This window comes from Homo sapiens, chromosome 10 (assembly GCF_000001405.40).
Source record: "Homo sapiens chromosome 10, GRCh38.p14 Primary Assembly".
Lineage (NCBI taxonomy): Eukaryota > Metazoa > Chordata > Mammalia > Primates > Hominidae > Homo > Homo sapiens.
In genome coordinates, this window is record NC_000010.11 from 125,889,436 (window position 1) to 125,908,576 (window position 19,141).

The window sequence follows — 19,141 nt, forward strand, 5'->3', positions numbered from 1 at the left end:
ATTTTTGGAGAGCGGGATCACTGGTCCAACACTCCACGTCAACTCTGGTGCTGGTTTGTGGCAAGGTAAAGAGCTTGCACCAGAATGTAAATCAACTAACTGCTTCCTACACTGAAGAGGTCTTGCTATTTTTAAAAAGTCAGCTGAACAGTAATCAGTATGTTTAGTGACATCGCCTATTTACATTCTGGCACAAGCTCCGGATCTCACTGCAAACCAGTAAGTCTGCACTGGCCCTGATCTGCAGGCCACACTTTTGAGAAGCCTGGTTCCATACTACTACTATAGTTGGACTAACAATAACAATGATGATAATTTTACCAATTAGCATTTATAGAGTGATTATTGCACACCAGATGCTATGTTCAGCACTTAAGCACTTTATATGGATTATTTCATTTAAACTCTTAAGGACCCCATGAGGGTTTACTTTATTATTTCCATTTTTCAAATGAGGAAATGTAAACCTTCAGAGGTTTAATTTATACGGCTTCTAGAAGATCATCTGTGGTAGAGCAGGTGCTTAAAGTCAGGCAGTATGATCTCTGCTTAACCCCAGTTCAGTGTATAGTGTATATGCTTAACCATATATCCATACTGCTTCCTGACTATGTTACATATTGCTTCCAGACTACATTTTTAAAAATAGGCTCACGTTGCATCACTGGGGGTTGAAGAAATACTTGACACTAATGGCGATGTCAGGAAGAGAGGTCTGGAAGAAATACCATAAAACTGAAAAACATGGTATAGATAGATTTGTAAATCTTTTTTATAGATTTGAAAAACATATTTCTAACACAAAGTTACAGTCAAATATTTAATACACTTTATCTCTCAAGCATGGTATGCTTTAATTGAAACAATGGACCTAATCATTACTAGGACTTTTAGAAGGTCACTTCTTTGTTTGCCTTTGTTTTAATAGCCTGAAATCTCCCAAAAATATATCCTATTTGGTTTCCAGTATCAATTTAAAGTCTTTCTGGAAAAAGATAAGGTCAAAATTCAAAATCTATTTTAAAATCCTTATTTCTAGACTTGTAACGAGTTGATTGCTTTGATTTTAAGTAAGCAAATCTAGTTAATTAGCTTTTTAAAAATAAAAAAGGTCCATTTTTAACTCAATGTTGGTTCATATCAGATACAACCAGCCTTGTATTGACAATTGGTTGAATATACAATATTATATTAATAACAACAGATACTACAGTTGATCTTAGCCAAAAGGCCGAGAAGTGATGAATATACAGTATTGAATATTGTATTGCATATTGGTTGAATAACCAACCCTGCACAATCAAATTTTTTAAAAAGAATCCTTACATTCTAACGGTACTTAAAAAAATTTTAGGCTTGGGGCAGTGGCTCATGCCTGTAATCCCATCCTTTTGGGAGGCCAAGTGGGGAGGATAATTTGAGCCCAGGAGTTTGAGACTAGCCTGGGCAACACAGTGAGACCCCGTCTCACTTAAAAAATAGAGGTCACTTAATAGAGACCCCGTCTCTATTAAAAAAACATATTTTTTAATGTATATACAGAAAGTCCCCCCCGAGCTCAATCAATGTTTATGTATAGTATTAATATACCACTCCCTACAAATAAGTTTCTAAGTCAAAGGTATTGTCAGAAGTTCAAATGACTGGACCACTCAGTGCTTTGTGATATTATTTTGATGATTTTTTGACTGCATTCCATTCCGAAAACTAATTTACTCTGAGTAGAAGCAGAGTTAATAAAGTATGCAAAAATACTAATCTGGCTTATTTAAGTAGTCTAGTGACACATCTGAGAAAAATTTTGTGTGAGATTCAATAAAAGCTGAGATTTAAAGAACAGGTTACTGCTGGTCTCCCCAAGTTAACATACTTTACCTGAGACATACACAAAATGAACTTTTATCCATCTCTCTCTCTCTTTTTTTTTTTAAGTATTTGCTTGAGGCATAATCATAATCAACTTCTAAAGTTACATTTTACTTGATTTGTTGTCCCAAATGTAGACAAAAAACCCATAAATAGCCACAGGCACAGTGGCTCATGCCTGGAATCCCAGCACTTTGGAAGGCTGAGGCGGGAGGAGCCCAGGAGTTCCAGACCAGCCTAGGCAACATAGCAAGACTCTATATCTAAAAAATTTGTTTAAAAATGTTTTAAAAAATATTTTTAAACATAAATATCAAGATTTCTGTTGTTAACAAAGTAATGGGTAGTCATTTTACATGAACTTTAATAAAACAATAATAGATGAACTGTGTTGTGCGTTCTACGGTGGCTAGAGGAAAATATAATCATTTTGGGGAATGCCAATGCATGAACTCCTCAGGAGTAGGTACTCTTCCATTAATCCTCCCAGATTTTCAGCTCCCTTTTCTGACCACTGGTCTTTAGTCTCCACGGGTTCTTCCACAATCAGCCCCTCCCCACAAGGTAAAATGTGCATACTTCAGGGCTCTATCCCTTACCCTCTTATTCCACATAATATCCCTGGAGAAAATCATCACATTTTAACTTCAATCACTAAATGCTTAATCCAAATTCTATCTTCATCTCAGACTTTTTCCTTTCGTTCCAGACCCACATGTCCAACTACTACTACTTATGGGACCTCCCAACGTATATGACAGGCATCTCAAACTGAACACATCTACCCCACTTCTTAAACTCCTCAAAAAATTTTTTTCTTCTTTAGAGTTCAATGAATAACAGAACAATCCAGTCTATCACCCCACTGTCATCCCTGGCTTCTCCTTCCTCATCTCCTATATCACCAAGATCTGCCAATTCTACCTTTTTTAGTGGCCCCTCCTTCTTATTCCCACCATCGCTCTCCTGGTTCTCTTCATTTCTTCACTGAGCTTCAGCAACATCTCCAATTTTTTTGTCTCTCATTTAGGCTCTCTACCAATCTGTCATTTGAGTGTTGCCAGTGATCCTTTCCAAATGCAAAACTGATCCAGTCACTGACCCAAATCCTCCTTATTACCTTTAAGGAAAATAAACTCATGGTCCTTAGGTTCCTTCTGATTTGGCCCACATTTGCCTTTCTGGGCTTACTTCCTCCCATTTTCTGCTAATACACATGAAGAAGTATTCTCCAGTTCAGCCACAATAAACCACGGCTTAGTTGTTCTCCCGGCCTTCGTGCCTCAGCCCAGGCTGTTCTGCTTCGGAAGCACCTGGTCATTTCCTGTTTACCCTTTATGACATGCAATTCCAGAGCCCAGGAAGTACCTAACACATTGTGAATGTGGAATCAATGTCTGCTCTATGCCTAAGTCAATAACAGCCCTTTATATTAAAAAAGTTCATTACGACATACAAGATATTTTCATTCATAATCTATAATCACATTTATCTTGATTCTCACAACTAGACTATCAGACAACCATTGCAGGTTTTATTATCCCAAGTTATCAATGACAAAATAATAGCTTCTGGTTTTCCAAAAGGGCAAAGCTAGAAATTAATGCAATGACCCCTAACTAAAGGTTTGACCTCTCTATTATTACCCTACTTAAATTATCAGGTACACAATGAAGACCACCATGTGCTAAAAGCAACACAGAAGAAGCGTAAGTCATGCACTTAGCTCCAAACATATTTAATCCAGTCAGAGGTACAAGATCCATCCATATGAGATAAAATTCTATAGGAAAGCATCCTACAGAGCTAAATGCTAAACCGTGTAGCACCCCCAGTAGGAGAGCGAAGTGCATTTAGTGGGCATTAGCCTAATCCTGAAAGACTTTCCAGAAACTGGGGCAGCATGCTCCTGCAGTCCCATTTATTTATTTATTTATTTAACTTTTATTTTATTTTTTTTGAGACGGAGTCTTGCTCTGTCACCCAGGTTGGAGTACAGTGGCCCAATCTCGGCTCACTGCAAGCTCCGCCTCCCGGGTTCACGCCATTCTCCTGGCTCAGCCTCCCGAGTAGCTGGGACTACGGGCGCCCGCCACCATGCCCGGCTAATTTTTTGTATTTTTAGTAGAGACGGGATTTCACCGTGTTACCCAGCATGGTCTCGATCTCCTGACCTCGTGATCCGCCTGCCTTGGCCTCCCAAAGTGCTGGGATTACAGGCGTGAGCCACCGCGCCCGGCCAGTGTCCTTTAGACTGTGGACGAGTAAAGGGCGGAGAGATAGACATTCCATTTGAGTGCAACAAATTGAATGTAGACCATGACAAGTTTGGAGAACAAAGAGGAAAACACCAAAAATAGAAATTGATTGTTTTCCACCTTTGACAGAACTCCCTAAGAGTTTCAGAAAGTATCAGATAGAGAAAAAAGTACCCTCACTCTGGTAAAGAAAACAAAAATCAACAAAAACCCTAAAACCAACAAAAACAAAAATGAAAACTTCCTTCAACTTACCACAGTAAGGCTAGAAGACAGAACTATTAATAACATGTTCATTTGCTACATTTTTTATCAACCTATTTGCATTAAATAATGTTAACCTCCCACTAAAGTTATTTCTACTTTGAATTCTGAGGTAGTCAAGAGATTTAAATAAGAAAAAGACTACATCTGTCTCTTCATTGTTACTTTGTTATTCCCGATCCATAATGCTTCAGTTTGCTACATTTAGTTAAACATCAGCAAAGTAAACAATAATGTAACTATTCTATCTAGTAATGAGCTTGGAGACTTAAAAAAATATATATAGAACTTTATTCCTTTTCATTTGACCACTAATAACATACTGAACATGCCCGTGAAAAGAAATAAAACACAATGGTAGAAAACTCCAAAAAGGTAGAGTGTCTTTACCATTCATCCCCCACCCCTATCTCATTAGCAACTTTCTGATCTCGGGTGTTTTCTCCAATAGTAAAGTGTATCCCTATATCCAAAACAATTTCTCTAAAGCCCTTCTCACTCATTCAACAAACATTTAACAGGTACATTGCACAAGGTGATAGAGGAAGAGAAACTGAATATTGTCCCTGCCTCGGACATTTCAGTGCCTTTACGCCTGACTTCCACTCCTAACCAGTCTTCTTTCACAGGTACCCTGTCCCCTAAAATCAAATGTTGCTTTTCACAGTTGCCTTTACTTGTCACCTAAAGTATTTCAATTCAAAATTTCCTCAAAGTCAACTTAACAGCTGCTGATAAAATAATCATTCTATATGATTACAAAGTGTTTCACCAATACATATCCCCATTTTTTCCAAACTTAAAACTTCTTCAGTCCTTATTACTTTAGCATAGAGACCTGCACTGTTGTTTCTTCTTTTTAAAAAAATACTAATGCTAATCCTTTACTGTTTGAGCAGACTTAATCCTACCTTTTCTTTTGTCAATAAATGCCAGGTGTTTTTTAAATCACTATCTTGTCACTTTTGATTATGATATACTGATCACTCTATTTGTATCTTGAATGAAAAGACCGCTTTGTGATTTTGCTAATGATATGTAAACTAGAACTTGAGAACCACTGGATACAGGAGTACTGCTGATCTTTATACTTTCTGTCTAAAAATGAAGCCCCTGTCTCTAAATTTCAGGAACAGGGAGTTAAGGTTCCATGAAGTGTTTACTTTCCACCCTTAATTTATTACCTTAATACTTCAGCTTAAGAATTATGTGTTCTGTATATATCACGCTGCTTGTCAATATCCACACATAAACCTTCTTGTTTTGACAATTAATCTGAAAAAGTCCCCATATAGTCTGAGAGGGGGAAAACCTAATTTGGAAGAATATAATAAATGTCAGTTTCCATCACAGAATATATGCTTCTCAAGTTCAATTAACCTCTCAATGATTCCCTAAGAGGAAAGTAATTCTCCTTAGTGTCCTTGTCATCCATGGAGTGGAAATCTTTCTACTGGCAAGATTAGTAATCACTTCCATGACCCCCAAAACGGCTCTTCCTTCCATTTCCCTCAAGTACTGTCTGGAGCAGCGGTTGGAATTAATAGAGGGGCCATAATCTCCAGACCTGAATACCAAATCAATCCTGCAGCCCCCCACACCCTTAATGCCCCTGCACTTTCTTGCTTATCCTTTTTCTCTCGTCTCCATTTTTCTTTCCTCCTTCTGGTGTTCCGGAACCTATGATACTCTCCTGGTTGTTTGAATTTTTACAACCTACCAGATAATAATCTCTTGTGATCCTCAAAGCTTCCTTAAAGCAAACCCTGAATCACTGTGTTTTAAAACCAGTATGAAAGACTATTGTGTGGGATAATGTTACATTGTTTCACAGCCCTACAAAGTTTGGCCACAAAACGTGTGGGCAGATTCCGTAACTCAACCGGAAACGCGAAGGACTGAAACAAATCAACACACAAAAAACGAAGCCAGCGAGAAAGATCCAACCCGGGCCCCCTGCCTGAAATGGGACACGGGGATGACGGGGCAAAGCCGGGCAAAACCGTGCTCCTGGCTCTCGCGATTCAGGAGACGCGCCAGGCTCACTGGGGACGACAGCGACGACGGCGGCGGCTCGCATTGCTCCACGCTTCCCGTCAGGGGGGCTCGAGGGACCGCCCCAGGCCCGGCCCATGCCCGGGCTCGGAGGGAGCCCCTGGTGCGAGGGCTGCCCGCAGGGCTCCGTCCTCCCGCTGAGGCGCGGCTCCCGGAGCAGGAGGCGCGGAGGCCGCCCTCGGCGTTTCGGAGTCGGGGCGGGGAACGTCCACGGCCAACTGCGGGCAGGGGACCCCCAGGCGGCTACAACAGGTGCGCCGGGGCCGCCCACCCGGCTCGGGGCGCGCCCGCCCCTGCGCCGACCCCCGACCCCTTCCGCCGCCGGGGCCCCGCTGTTACCTGCAGCGGCGGCTCCCGATTCCCGGGAGGGCGGCCCAGGGCCGGCGCCTTACCCGCGGGCAGGCCCACTCGCCCGACGGACGCCGCGGGTCGGCGACAGCGGGGACCGCGGGTCGGCGACGTCGGGGCACAGGTCCTGCGGGGCCGCGGGGGCCGCCAGGGAGGGCGCGACCGCCTGACCGGGCTTCAGGAGCAGTGTCCTCAGCCGGTGACCTGGCCGCTACCCTCGCTCAGTGTCCCCGGCGACGCGCGGGTCCTCACGCGCTCCCTCACTTCCTGCGGCTTTTGGTCCCTCCCGCTCGCCGTCCCTTTAGTTCTGCCCACTTCGCCTCCGGGTTGTCAGGGCAACCGTAGCGACGCCGGCCCTGGCTGAGAGGCGTTAGGAGTCCGGGGGTTCGCCCGCGGAGGCCGGGGAGCAGCCGACCATGGAGCCCCAGAGTAAGGGAGGCCCGGGCTGGAGCTGGGACCGGGGCGGGCGACCGGGCTGGGGCTCCCCGGGAACGAGTGTGGGCGCCCCGCGCGCGACTCCGCAGGTTTCAACGCTCGGACACGGAAATACGGTTTGCGTCTCCTCGCGCTTTTCTCTCCTGGAGAGGGGAGAAGGGGGCTACATCCTGCCAAGTCTGTATGGTTGGGCCGCCGGCGCCCTAGAGTCCGCGCTGGGGGCTGGGAGCGACTGGAGAGCCCCGAGGTATGGGTGGGGAAGGGCGCAGCGACCCCAGCGTGCGTCTTCCTGAAACTTCGCCCGGACGGTTCCATTTACTCCTCCTCCTACTCATGATTTTAGTTTGGTAGTTTGGTTCATTAATTGTAAGTAGCCCATTTTTCTTCTAAAATGTCAGCAATTAAACACGTCCGAGGCTGGGTCTTGTATTTATTAGAGACCCCGTCTTACTCCCCGCCCCCCGCCCCACACCCCTAGTCTGCGACTTGAAGGAGAGAGAGAGAAAAGAAGAGCTTTGTCCAAGTGTATTTGATTCATTCTTAGGGGTTCTACAAGTTAGGACACTCAAAAAATGTTTGTAATCTCTTTTTCTGTTTTCCCATGTTGCTTTCGATGTATGGCAAAAGTTGTGCAGTTTTGAGTTATCAGATCTAAACACGAGCTCTAACTTACTATTTTTGTTGTTGTTTTTACCTTTCCAGGGACTTTGTTTCAAGGCCTTTCTTTCTCTGCCCCGCCTAAGCTGTCTTATTGTTCCTTTTGTTCTCAAAATAAGGGGAGTGTTTTGTATGGAGACTTAAAATTTATCTAAAACCTTTATAGAAGGATGCAGTTTGACTCTCAAACCAAGTCGTCTTATCTTGTACAATTTCAGAAATGAAGAACTCAGACCAAATCTATTCTCTGGGGAAAATGTTGGCATTTTTAAAGGTCATTCGTTTTCCACCAAGAAAGTTTCAAATACTTTTCCTTTTAACTCATTTGCTGAGGAGAAAGCTTGCAAGTTGTGACTTATAGTTGCTTGATAGATTTTGTACAGTATTTGTCATTTGCATTTACAGCTCTTTGGATTCTACATTTTTTTAACCTAGTAAAAGAAATTTAGCATACAAGAACGCTAAAATTTTTGTTTTATGTCAAACTGATGGCAGGCTGTGTATATTCCCGCCTTAGAGAAGTGAGTTGAAATATACCTTTTAAAAACAGCAACTTGGCCTGGCCCGGTGGCTCACGCCTGTAATCCCAGCACTTTGGGAGGCTGAGGCAGGCGGATCACGAGGTCAGGAGATTGAGACCATCTTGGCCAGCATAGTGAAACCCATCTCTACTAAAATACAAAAAAAAAAAAAAAAAAAAAAAAAAAAAAAAAAAAGCCAGGTGTGGTGGCGCGTGCCTGGAGTCCTAGCTATTTGGGACGCTGAGGCCGAGGCAGGGGAATCGCTTGAACCCGGGAGGCGGAGGTTGCAGTGAGGCCAGATTGCACCGCTGCACTCCAGCCTGGTGACAGAGCGAGACTCCATCTCGAAAAAACAAAAAAAAGAACTTTATTTCTTCAGATTTATGTTACTGTTTTCATGTGTAAACTATAATTTCAAGTTCTTCAGTGCTGTCTTTATCCATTCATTCATTTATAGTGCCTGTTATGTTGCAGCTCTGTTCTAGGGATTGAGGATTGAACAACGGATCGGACAGTGTTAGTTTTGGTCATCCCAGGAAAACTAAGCAGAGGCTTGCTCAAGAACTCCTGAGGTCTTGGTGGGGTTCGGAGATTGGGGGAAGAGGAGATGGACAAAGGCTCCCAAGAGGAAGTAGTACTGGGTCTGCAGAATGACCCAGCAAAGAATGAGGGCAAGGGATTCCAGGCAGTGGGAATTACTTGTACATAGGCCCTGAGACCTGAGAGCAGCGTGGGTTTGAGGCTCACGGTAGGAAGATTAGTAAAGCTGTAGCTAAGGAGAGGAGGAGGAAAAAACAGGGTTGGAAGGAGGGAGGAGAAATGAGATAAGGCTGGAAAATTCAACCGGAGCCTGATCAGAAAGGTTCTGTAACCATGTGAGAAATGTATTACTTATGTGAACTATACATTTATATCTCATGTCATTGGATTTTGAGGTGGAAAATATTTAATTTATACCTGAGGAATGACTGTAAATTTCTTTCTTTCCACATATTCTTAAATTATTTCATCAATTTAATTTTAAATAATTCAATCACCATTTAGCTCAAGTTTTGTTGTTTTTTTTTTTTTTTGAGACAGGGTCTTGCTCTGTCACCCAGGCTGGAGTATAGTGGTGCGATCATAGCTCAGTACACCCTCGAACTCTTGGACTCAAGCAATCCTCTCACCTGAGCCTCCTGGCTAGATGTGACTACAGGTGTGTGCCACCATACCCCGCTAATTTATTTATTTATTTAGAGACAGAGTTTCGCTGTTGTTGCCCAAGCTGGAGTGCAATGATGTGATCTTGGCTTACTGCAACCTCCGCCTCCCGGGTTCAAGTAATTCTCCTGCCTCAGCCTCCCAAGTAGCTGGGATTACAGGCATGCGCCACCATGCCTGGCTAATTTTGTATTTTTAGTAGAGATGGGGTTTCTCCATGTTGGTCCGGCTGGTCTTGAACTCCTAACTTCAGGTGATCCTCCCGCCCTGGCCTCCCAAAGTGCTGGGATTACAGGCGTGAGCCACCGTGCCCGGCCCCTAATTTTCTTTTTAATTTTATTTACTTTGAATAGAGCTAAAGTCTGATTTTGTTGCCCAATTTGTTCTCGAACGCCTGGCCTCAAGTGATCCTCCTGCCTCGTCCTCCCAAAGTGCTAAGATTACAGGCGTGAGCCAGCACACCCAGCCTGGAAATTCTTTTACAGTCTAAGAAACATAATTTGGATAAATATTTACTACCATTCACAGTTACTAAATATTTAAAAGGACAAGATTAAATGATCTTTGAGGTTTCTTTTAACTTGGAGATTTGTATCCAACCAGATTTCACCTGAGACGGAAGTTATTTCCTACTGTCAGCCATAATGGAAGCACTACAGACGTGGCATCAAGTATTACAGTGAATTACAGTTATACTGTCAGCAATATTATGTTAACAGTACATTGTTTATGCCGATATTATCTAACATATTTTAAACCCTGTTCCTTTTGTTACTGAGAGGTCTAAAATAACATTTTACAAGTGTAGTTGAATATAGCATCAGTAAATTGGTTATGAGGAAGACTCCTTCATAATTGCTTTTAAGGATTAAACATGTATCTAAGGACAACACCAAGGAACTACTAGAAATAACCCTCGAGTCAGTCTTTTCCGTTCTGTTTCCACACCCTTAGTTTTCTATTACTTTTAGGAATGACCTTTGTTAACTAAGTCATTAAAATCCAATAAACATAAACTCTTCAGACCCCACAGCTGGATCATACTCTTGGCAGCAAGCAGAGGAAGGCAGGGGCTACCACTGTTTTACAGAATAATAGTAAGTCAATGATCCAAGAAATGACTTCCCAGGGAAAGGGCAAATTAAATACGTTCACAACCTTGGGCTGTTGAGAGTGGTTTTGGCTCTTGGCTTGCACATTGACGTCTTTAATTATTTTCTTGCTAAACCAACTTCAGTGTTGGAAAGATAGCTCATGTATAAAATAACATGGAAAACGTACATCACTTCCCATTTGTTTTGGGTTTTTGTCCTTTTTTTTTTTTCTTTTTTTGGAAAATAGTTCAATAGTACTATCTCTTCCTTAATTTCTTAATGAGTTTTAATACCAAGGGGTGGCTTTGGGGATCTTTAGCCCAAATCTAAGCAAACATATAATCTGAGTAAAAACTGTATATTTATCAAATGCAGCATCAAGAGAAGCCCCCCGGCTCCCACTTGGTGCTACCTGTTCTGTAAGCTCTTGCTATATATATGTATTTTAAAAATCCAGCAGGCAGCAGTTTTCTGCTACACGTTTCTTTCTGTTTTTTTTTGTTTGTTTGTTTGTTGTTTGTTTTTTGTTTTTTGAGACGGAGTCTCACTCTGTTACCCAGGCTGCAGTGTGGTGGCACTAGCTTGGCTCACTGCAACCTCCGCCTCCCAGGTTCCAGCGATTCTCCTGTCTCAGCCTCCCAAGTAGCTGGGATTACAGGTGCACGCCATCATGCCTGGCTAATTTTGTATTTTTATAGAGACAGGGTTTCACCATGTTGGTCAGGCTGGTCTCGAACTCCTGATCTCATGTGATCCACCCGCCTCGGCCTCCCAAAGTGCTGGGATTATAGGCGTGTGCCACTGTGCCCAGCCTTTTTCTGCCCCCCTTTTTTTTTTGTAGTTGTTGTTTTTAGAGAGACAGGGTCTTGCTGTGTGGCCCAGGTATGCCTCAAACTCCTGGGTTCAAGGGATCCTTCCCCATTGGCCTCCCGAGTAGCCAGGACTGCCTACTGGGCTCACGCATGTTTTTAAAGAAATGGTAGATAAGAGATCTAAGGTATTTCAGTGACTAAGAAACTGAGGTGAATGACTAAGGGACTGAGACTTCTCTCTCCAAACCTGTTTCTCCACTAGTCTTCCAAGCCTTCCCAGTTACTCCAACCTGAAAATGAGTCATCCTTGGCTCCTCATTATCAACCCTCACCCCACCCTTCTCCATCCACCAGCAGGTCTGTTTATTCCACTTCCAAAATATACCCCAAATGTGCTTCCTCTTCCTCCGTACTCCAAGCTACCATGCCGTGTAAGTTATGATTGTGATTTTTGCATGTCTTCTTCCACTGCTACCTGGAAGCTGGAGTGACCTTTCAAAATATACATCAAATCAGATCATGTCACTCTCCTGCCAAAAGCCCTCCAAAGTCCTTACGTTGATCTAGCTGCCTCTTCAAACTCATCACACATCTGATCTTAGATGTATTATGCTTCAAGCACATTGGTCTTCTTGTAGTCCCTCAAACAAGCTTCTTTCAGGACTGTGGCTCTGAACAAGCTTTCCTCTCTGCCAGGGATGCTATTCCCTCCTGCTATGGCAGGTCTGACTCCTAATGTCCTTCAATCTTTGCCTAAATTTCACCTCCTGCAACCCTTCCCTGGCTTCCTAAAGTGGTGGTGCCCCCTCTCTGATGTTATTCTATCTCTGCGCTTTTCTCTTAATAGTAATAATCAGAACTTGTAATTATTTTGTTAATATTTAAAATCTAGCTGGACGTGGTGGCTCACGCCTGTAATCCCAGCATTTTGGGAGGCCAAGGCGGGCGGATCACCTGAGGTCAGGAGTTTGAGACCAGTCTGGCCAACTGGCGAAACCCCGTCTCTACTAAAAATACAAAATTAGCCAGGTGTGGTGTTGCACGCCTGTAATCCTAGCTACTCACGTGGCTGAGGCAGGAGAATTGCTTGAACCTGGGAGGTGGAGGTTGCAGTGAGCCGAGATAGCACCACTGTACTCCATCGTGGGAGACAAGAGCAATGTGAGGTGGGGGGAGGAGGGAGGGATAGCGTTAGGAGATATACCTAATGCTAAATGATGAGTTAATGGGTGCAGCACACCAGCATGGCACATGTATACATATGTAACTAACCTGCACATTGTGCACATGTACCCTAAAACTTAAAGTATAATAATAATTAAATAAAAAATTCTACTTTCTTCACTCGACTGTAGGGTGGTGGAAGAGGTCAGGGGACCTGTCTGCCCTGTTTGCCATCCCGTCCCTAGTGCCTAACACGGAGTAAACCCTAAACATTCATGGAATGGATAGCACTGCTGTTCACAGATAGATGCCTTACCTACTTTCATTTCCTTAAGAGTGTTGTGGTGTACTTAAAAAAAGAAAGCCATTTTATTCTACATTATTCTACAACACAAAGGGCTGTGCTCCAGTGAAATTTGAAGTGCCTCTTGTGGATTGTGCTTTGGGTAAAGTTCATTTAAATCAGGTACTTATAAATGTTAGGTCGATTACAAATATGGTGTCCCATTTTCTTTTCTAACCTAAACGAGATGTTTTAAACGAGTCTCATTCTATCCGGTAAGAATAAGGAAGGAGGCAAGTAAACTTATTTTTTGGACCAAGCGGCCACGAGGTCATAAGACCTAAAAATCTTTACACTCCCAGCCAGCACCTGCTCATTAATTATCTGGGAGACTGGTAAGGATTTAAAAGTAATTTTTTCCTTAAGCCCAGGAATCATTTAAAAAATCTGTATAACATTTTTTTCTCATGTAGTCTTAGCCCCGAAGAATATTAAGTCTATCAATTAGGTTATAATTCAAATCTTATCAAGAAATAAATGCTTAATAAATCAAGATTAAAAAAAATTTTCAAAGCAGTGTCTTTTAAACAGTCATGTTTTAAAATCCCCATCAAAATGGTAAAATTCATTGTGATCCTGACCTCTGATGCTGTCAGCCACAGGAAGGGGCAAAACGACTTGAGGCTTGAAGCCGTGTCTTTCCCCAAGCTCAGGTTCACCAAACATGGTCTCCAGATGGAGTCTGTTCCTCAGAACCTGGGCTTTACTTCTTGATGGGAGAAGGAAGCAGTGTTAAAACTTGTCTATTCTGAACTAGCCAACCAGATTAAAGGAGGGGTTTGTGCATACCAGCATCATCCCAGAATGACCTGAATGACTCATTACATGCAGACAGTGGTGCAAACTCATTAACAAGTAAACAACTCACACCAGTGCTCTGTGCTCACAGGGCTGGGGGCGTTCTTGGGTATTTTTCTTAAGGGAGGCTGGAAGAAGGGAGGAGGCATTCCTTTCTCCTAGAGGCAAAGGCCAGTTCCTTTTGCTGTGCCCCAGACCTTTCCTGGTTGTTAGAAACTCTTCCAGGCCTTTTCTTGGGAAGGTGCTCTCATCCCCACACCCCTGCCTCCTCCCTCCACCTGTTGTGCACTCCCTGAGAGAAACAAAACAACTTAATCAGCTTATTCAGCTACTTGGGAAGCTGAGGCGGGGGGACTGCTTGAGCCTAGGAGTTTGGATTCAGCCCGGGCAACATGTCGAGACCCCATCTCTAATTTTTTTTTAAGTTTTAATTTTTTTAATTTAAATAAACATATTCAGGCTAGTGCACGTACTTTGGTTCTCTACTGAAGTAATTCACCCTAAATTGAAACTAGCATTGCTAGTTTAGTGTATTACTCCTCTCTAGGCAGCCTCTCTCTCTCTATATATAAATATATATTTTGTTTGTTTGTTTGTTTTGTTTTGTTTTTTTGAGACAGAGTTTCACTCTTGTCGCCCAGGCTGGAGTGCAGTGGCACAAGCTAGGCTCACTGCAACCTCCACCTCCTGGGTTTAAGCTATTCTCCTGCCTCAGCCTCCCGCGTAGCTGGGACCACAGAATGTGATCCCACAGCTGTGACCACACCTGGCTAATTTTTTATTTTTTTGAACTGGAGTCTCTCTTTGTTCCCCAGGCTAGTCTTGCCACTATCCTAGTTTTTCTTCTGTATTGTTAGACAGGGCCTCAGTGTCCTTGAACTGCAAGGAATTAACACTGAGCGTAGTATTAGTAAAACCTATCTTCTACTCATGAAAAGTCAATCATTTTTTTAAAAAAAGATTCCACAATTATTATAAGCAGAAACAAATTAAAAGGTTGTATACCTACTGTTTGAAAAACACGACTTACCAAACCAAACATAAGAAGTATGTATACCCCTATATTTATGAAATAAATAGAATCCATAATTTAAAACTTCCTCACAAAAACAATCCCAAGTTCCTGATGGCATCACTGGTGAATTCTTCAATGAAAGGGAAAAAATAACACCAACATTACAGATTTTTTTTTTTTTTAATCTTAGGGACAGGGTCTCACTATGTTGCACAGGCTGGAGTGCAGTGGCTATTCACAGTCAAGTTCCAGTGATCCTCCCACCTCAGCCTCTTGAGTAGCTGGGACTACAGGCTGCAGAAACTTTTAAGAGAACAAAAATAAAGGGAACTCCTGAGCTCAAGCACTTCTCCCATCTCGGCCTCCCAAAGTGCTGGGATTACAGGCATGAACCACTGCACCCCGCTTAGTGTGCTGTTTTTAAAAATGACTTTTGGGCTTGTGTTCATGTGACTGATGAGCCTGTAGTTTTACTTTTTGTAATTTTTTAGACTACTTTTGGTATCAAGTTTATTGTAATCTCAAAAAATGAGCATGGCTCTGTTCCCTTTATTTTTGTTCTCTTAAAAGTTTCTGGCCGGGCGCGGTGGCTCACGCCTGTAATCCCAGCCCTTTGGGAGGCCGAGGCGGGCGGATCACGAGGTCAGGAGATCGAGACCGTCCTGGCTAACAGGGTGAAACCCCGTCTCTGCTAAAAATACAACAAAAAAAAATTAGCCGGGTGTGGTGGTGGGCGCCTGTAGTCCCAGCTACCAGGGAGGCTGAGACAGGAGAATGGTGTGAACCCGGGAGGCGGACCTTGCAGTGAGCTGAAACTGCGCCACTGCACTCCAGCCCAGGTGACAGAGCGAGACTCTGTCCCAAAAAAAAAAAAAAAAAAAACAAAAAAAACGTTTCTGTAGCCTGTAGTCCCAGCTACTCTGGAGGCTGAGGTGGGAGGATCACTGGAACGTGACTGTGAATAGCCACTGCACTCCAGCCTGGGCAACATAGTGAGACTCTGTCACTAAGATTAAAAAAAAAAAATCTGTCCCTAAAATTAAAAAAGAAATTCTGTAGTGTTGGTGTTACTTTTCCCTTTCATTGAAGAATTCACCAGTGAAGCCATCAGGAACTGGGAATTGTTTTTGTGGGAAAGTTTTAAATTACAGATTCTACCTATTACTAGACATAGGAGTTTACATACTTCTTCTGTTTGGCTTTGGTAAGTTGTGTTTTTCAAACAGCAGGTGTAGGTGTACAACCTTTCAATTTGTTGCTGCCTCTAATAATTCTGGAATCTTTAAAAAATGACTTTTCATGATGAATAGAACATAAGTTTTACTAATGCTATAATCAGTATAAATTCCTTGCAGATCAAGGACAGTGAGGCCATGTCTAATAATCCAGAGGCAGAACTTGGATTTGGGAGATAACTCCCCCCTCTTGCACTCTCTGTGACAAGTCTAGTTTCGATATCAAGTTTATCTTAATCTCAAAAAATGAGCTTGGCTCTGTTCCCTCTATTTTCTCTTAAAAGTTTCTGCAGCCTGAAGTCCCAGCTACTCAGGAAGGTGAGGTGGGAGGATCACTTGAGGCCAGGAGTTCAAGGCTGTTTACTGAAACAATCAGGAATGAGCATTCCCAAGAGAATACAATTACAAAAGTAAAATCACCTAGAGCTTTGGGGCTGCTTAAAAAGCCCAGAAAGAAGTACCAAGTGAGAAAATAATCAAATTCAGTGGAAAAACTCACTTGAGGGTATCATGGTCAGCTGGGTTTCCACCCCTTTGATGCACTTCAAGTCCTGTGTATCCCACAAAGACTTGCTCCTTTCTAAAGGCTATGGTTCACGTTCAACAGAATAGCAGCAACCGCCATAAGCCTGAGGGCTGGCTAGTCTTTAATATTCTGCCCTATTCAAAGAAATGAGTCTTTCCCTCATTTGTAAAGATCTCCCAGGTCCGTTACAAAAAAAGAAGGAGCAGCTAGGCACAGTGGCTCATGCCTGTAATCCCAGCTCTTTGAGAGGCCAAGGTGGGCCGATCACCTGAGGTCAGGAGTTTGAGACCACCCTGGCCAACATGGTGAAACCCCATCTCTATTAAAACTACAAAAATCAGCTGGGCATGGTGGTGTGTGCCTGTAATCCCAGCTACTAGCGAGGCTGAGGCAGGAGAATTGCTTGAACCTGGGAAGTGGAGGTTGCAGTGAGCCAAGATCACGCTGCTGCATTCCAGCCTTGGGGACAGAGCAAGACTCTGTCTCAAAAAAAAAAAAAAAAAAAAAAAAAAAAATTCTTACCTCCTGGAAGTGTTTTACTAGTGTTGGTTTCTATTTGACATTAAACACTTCCCCAGGCCAGTGCATTAGCAGTTAGCTCCTTACTGAATATTATCTGTAGCAAACAGTAGCTGACTCCTAGCTCTCTTCAGTGAACTTGATTTAAATTTATAGAATTCTTATGACTTCTATTTCATCTTGAACCAAGAGATTGCTTCCTTTTCCTACTGATTTACCTTTCAGTTACATGTAGACTGAACCAGTCCCAGCCATCTTTAGTTGGTCTCTATTCAAACATTGTACTTTTGTTTCTTGATTACATCTTCAATTATTTTAGTTATTTCTGAGATTCTCCCCTGCAGTTTCTCCAGTTATCTAGAGAAGAGTGTGGCAAGGTACAAAGAGTGCCTGAATAACATTATGAAGGCTGTGAGACTTCAAATAAATGAGTAGCCTCTCTGAGCATTAGGTTTGTCCTCTGTAAACCAGGAATAATTTTTACTGAACCAGGGTTGTTCTAAGGATTAGTGAAATGTATGTAAAGCCTTTAGCATTTAATAGGTGATCAAATGGTAAGTGATGCTTATAGAATGTTTTTATCATGGTAAAATATACAAAACATAAAACTTACCAGCCTTTTAATCTAAATTGTCTTATTGTGATAGGCTTGCTTATAGTAAAACAAACTCTTTTTAGTATCTGTAGGATCTATAGTGATAACTCTTCACTCCTTATATTCTAACTTGTGCCTAATTAGTTAGGCACAACTCTAATTAGTTATCTATTGCTGCATAAGAAATTACCTGAAACTTAATGTCTTCAAACAACAACAAGTATTTATTATCTGTGATAGGCAGACTTCTAAGATGTTTCCCATGATCTCAATGTCCTGGTGTTGTACTCTGTATGATCTCTTCCTTTTTTAGTGTGGATGGGATCACTGCTCAGCCTTTTGGATGAAATCGAGTGAACGTGAGTAGGATCTGTGACTTGTTTCTAACTGACGTAATATTGCAAATGTGATGGGTTGTTACTCCTGGGATGTGTGTGTGTGTGTGTGTGTGTATGTGTGTGTGTGTGTGTGCACAGAAGAAAGGAGAGGGAAGAGGAGAGGAGGAGGAGGAGAGAGACATACATTAGGATATGAGATAGACATATTGCTAGCATGCACGCAAGATTCTCCTTGCTGATTTGAGGAAGTGTGTGACCATATTGAGAAAGCCCAACAGCAGGTGGTGTCTAGGACCTGAGGGTGGCCTCCAGCCAATACCCAATAAAAAACATAGCTACATAATCATACAGACATAAGGAAATGAATTTTGTCAACAACCTGAATGAGCTTGAACCCAGCTCAGCTGACACCTTGCCTGCAACCTTGTGAGAGCCTATGCAGTGAACCCAGTTGAGCTGTGCCCCAATTCCTGACCCACAGAAAATACGAGAGAATAAATATGTTTTTTCTCCCTTTTTTTTTTTTTTTTTGAGACAAGAGTTTCCCTCTTGTTTCCCAGGCTGGAGTGCAGTGGTGCGCTCTCGGCTCACTACAACCTCTGCCTCCTGGGTTCAAGCAATTCTCCTGCCTCAGCCTCCCAGGTAGCTGAGATTATAGGCATGCGCCACCACACGCAGCTAATTTTGTATTTTTAGTAGAGATAAGGTTTCTGCATGTTGGTCAGGCTGGTCTCGAACTCCTCACCTCAGGTGATCTGTCTGCCTCGGCCTCCCAAAGGGCTGGGATTACAGGTGTGAGCCACTGTGCCTGGCCTTTTCTCATATGTTTATAGCAGCACAATCTGCAACTGAAAAAATATGGAATCAGTTCAAATGCCCATCAGTGAACGAATGGATAAAGAAAATGTGGTATATATGTACCATGGAATACTACTCAGCCATAAAAAGGAACAAAATAATGGCATTTGCAGCAATCTGGATGGAATTAGAGACTTGTTCTACGTTAAGTAACTCAGGAATGGAAAACCGAATATCATATGTTCTCACTCATAGGTGGGAGCAAAGCTATGAAGATGCAAAGGCATAAGAATGATA

The 19,141-nt window shown here is 42.6% G+C and overlaps 2 protein-coding genes and 1 pseudogene across 7 annotated transcripts in view, besides 4 other annotated features; 1 reads left to right on the forward strand and 2 right to left on the reverse strand.

Moving 5' to 3' along the window:
- Positions 1-7,050, reverse strand: part of DHX32 (DEAH-box helicase 32 (putative)) — a 60,149-nt gene extending 53,099 nt beyond the window's left edge. For all 4 annotated transcript variants that reach the window (XM_047425470.1, XM_047425468.1, XM_047425469.1 and 1 more), the window contains exon 1: positions 6,783-7,050. The gene's annotated coding sequence lies outside the window, so the exon portion shown is untranslated. The remainder of the gene's footprint in view (positions 1-6,782) is intronic.
- On the reverse strand, positions 1,131-1,243 carry RNU2-42P (RNA, U2 small nuclear 42, pseudogene; annotated as a pseudogene).
- Positions 6,634-6,713: a silencer, noted in NCBI's record as "silent region_2926". NCBI's record gives its function as "represses an Ori minimal core promoter by ATAC-STARR-seq in GM12878 lymphoblastoid cells {active_cell/tissue: GM12878}" and the evidence as "EXISTENCE:reporter gene assay evidence [ECO:0000049][PMID:35858748]".
- Positions 6,934-7,013: a silencer, noted in NCBI's record as "silent region_2927". NCBI's record gives its function as "represses an Ori minimal core promoter by ATAC-STARR-seq in GM12878 lymphoblastoid cells {active_cell/tissue: GM12878}" and the evidence as "EXISTENCE:reporter gene assay evidence [ECO:0000049][PMID:35858748]".
- Positions 7,129-19,141, forward strand: part of FANK1 (fibronectin type III and ankyrin repeat domains 1) — a 113,029-nt gene continuing 101,016 nt past the window's right edge. For 2 of the 3 annotated variants that reach the window (NM_001350939.2, NM_145235.5), the window contains exon 1: positions 7,129-7,220. In NM_001350939.2, coding sequence (NP_001337868.1) covers positions 7,208-7,220 — 13 coding nt within the window. In that variant the 5' untranslated portion in view covers positions 7,129-7,207. Of the gene's footprint in view, positions 7,221-7,370; positions 7,474-19,141 lie in introns of those variants that run through there. The other variant, NM_001363549.2, reaches the window with a different exon arrangement.
- Positions 7,174-7,313: a silencer, noted in NCBI's record as "silent region_2928". NCBI's record gives its function as "represses an Ori minimal core promoter by ATAC-STARR-seq in GM12878 lymphoblastoid cells {active_cell/tissue: GM12878}" and the evidence as "EXISTENCE:reporter gene assay evidence [ECO:0000049][PMID:35858748]".
- Positions 7,405-7,699: a silencer, noted in NCBI's record as "tiled region #15703; K562 Repressive non-DNase unmatched - State 25:Art". NCBI's record gives its function as "represses a minimal TATA promoter and a strong SV40 promoter by Sharpr-MPRA in K562 cells {active_cell/tissue: K562}" and the evidence as "EXISTENCE:reporter gene assay evidence [ECO:0000049][PMID:27701403]".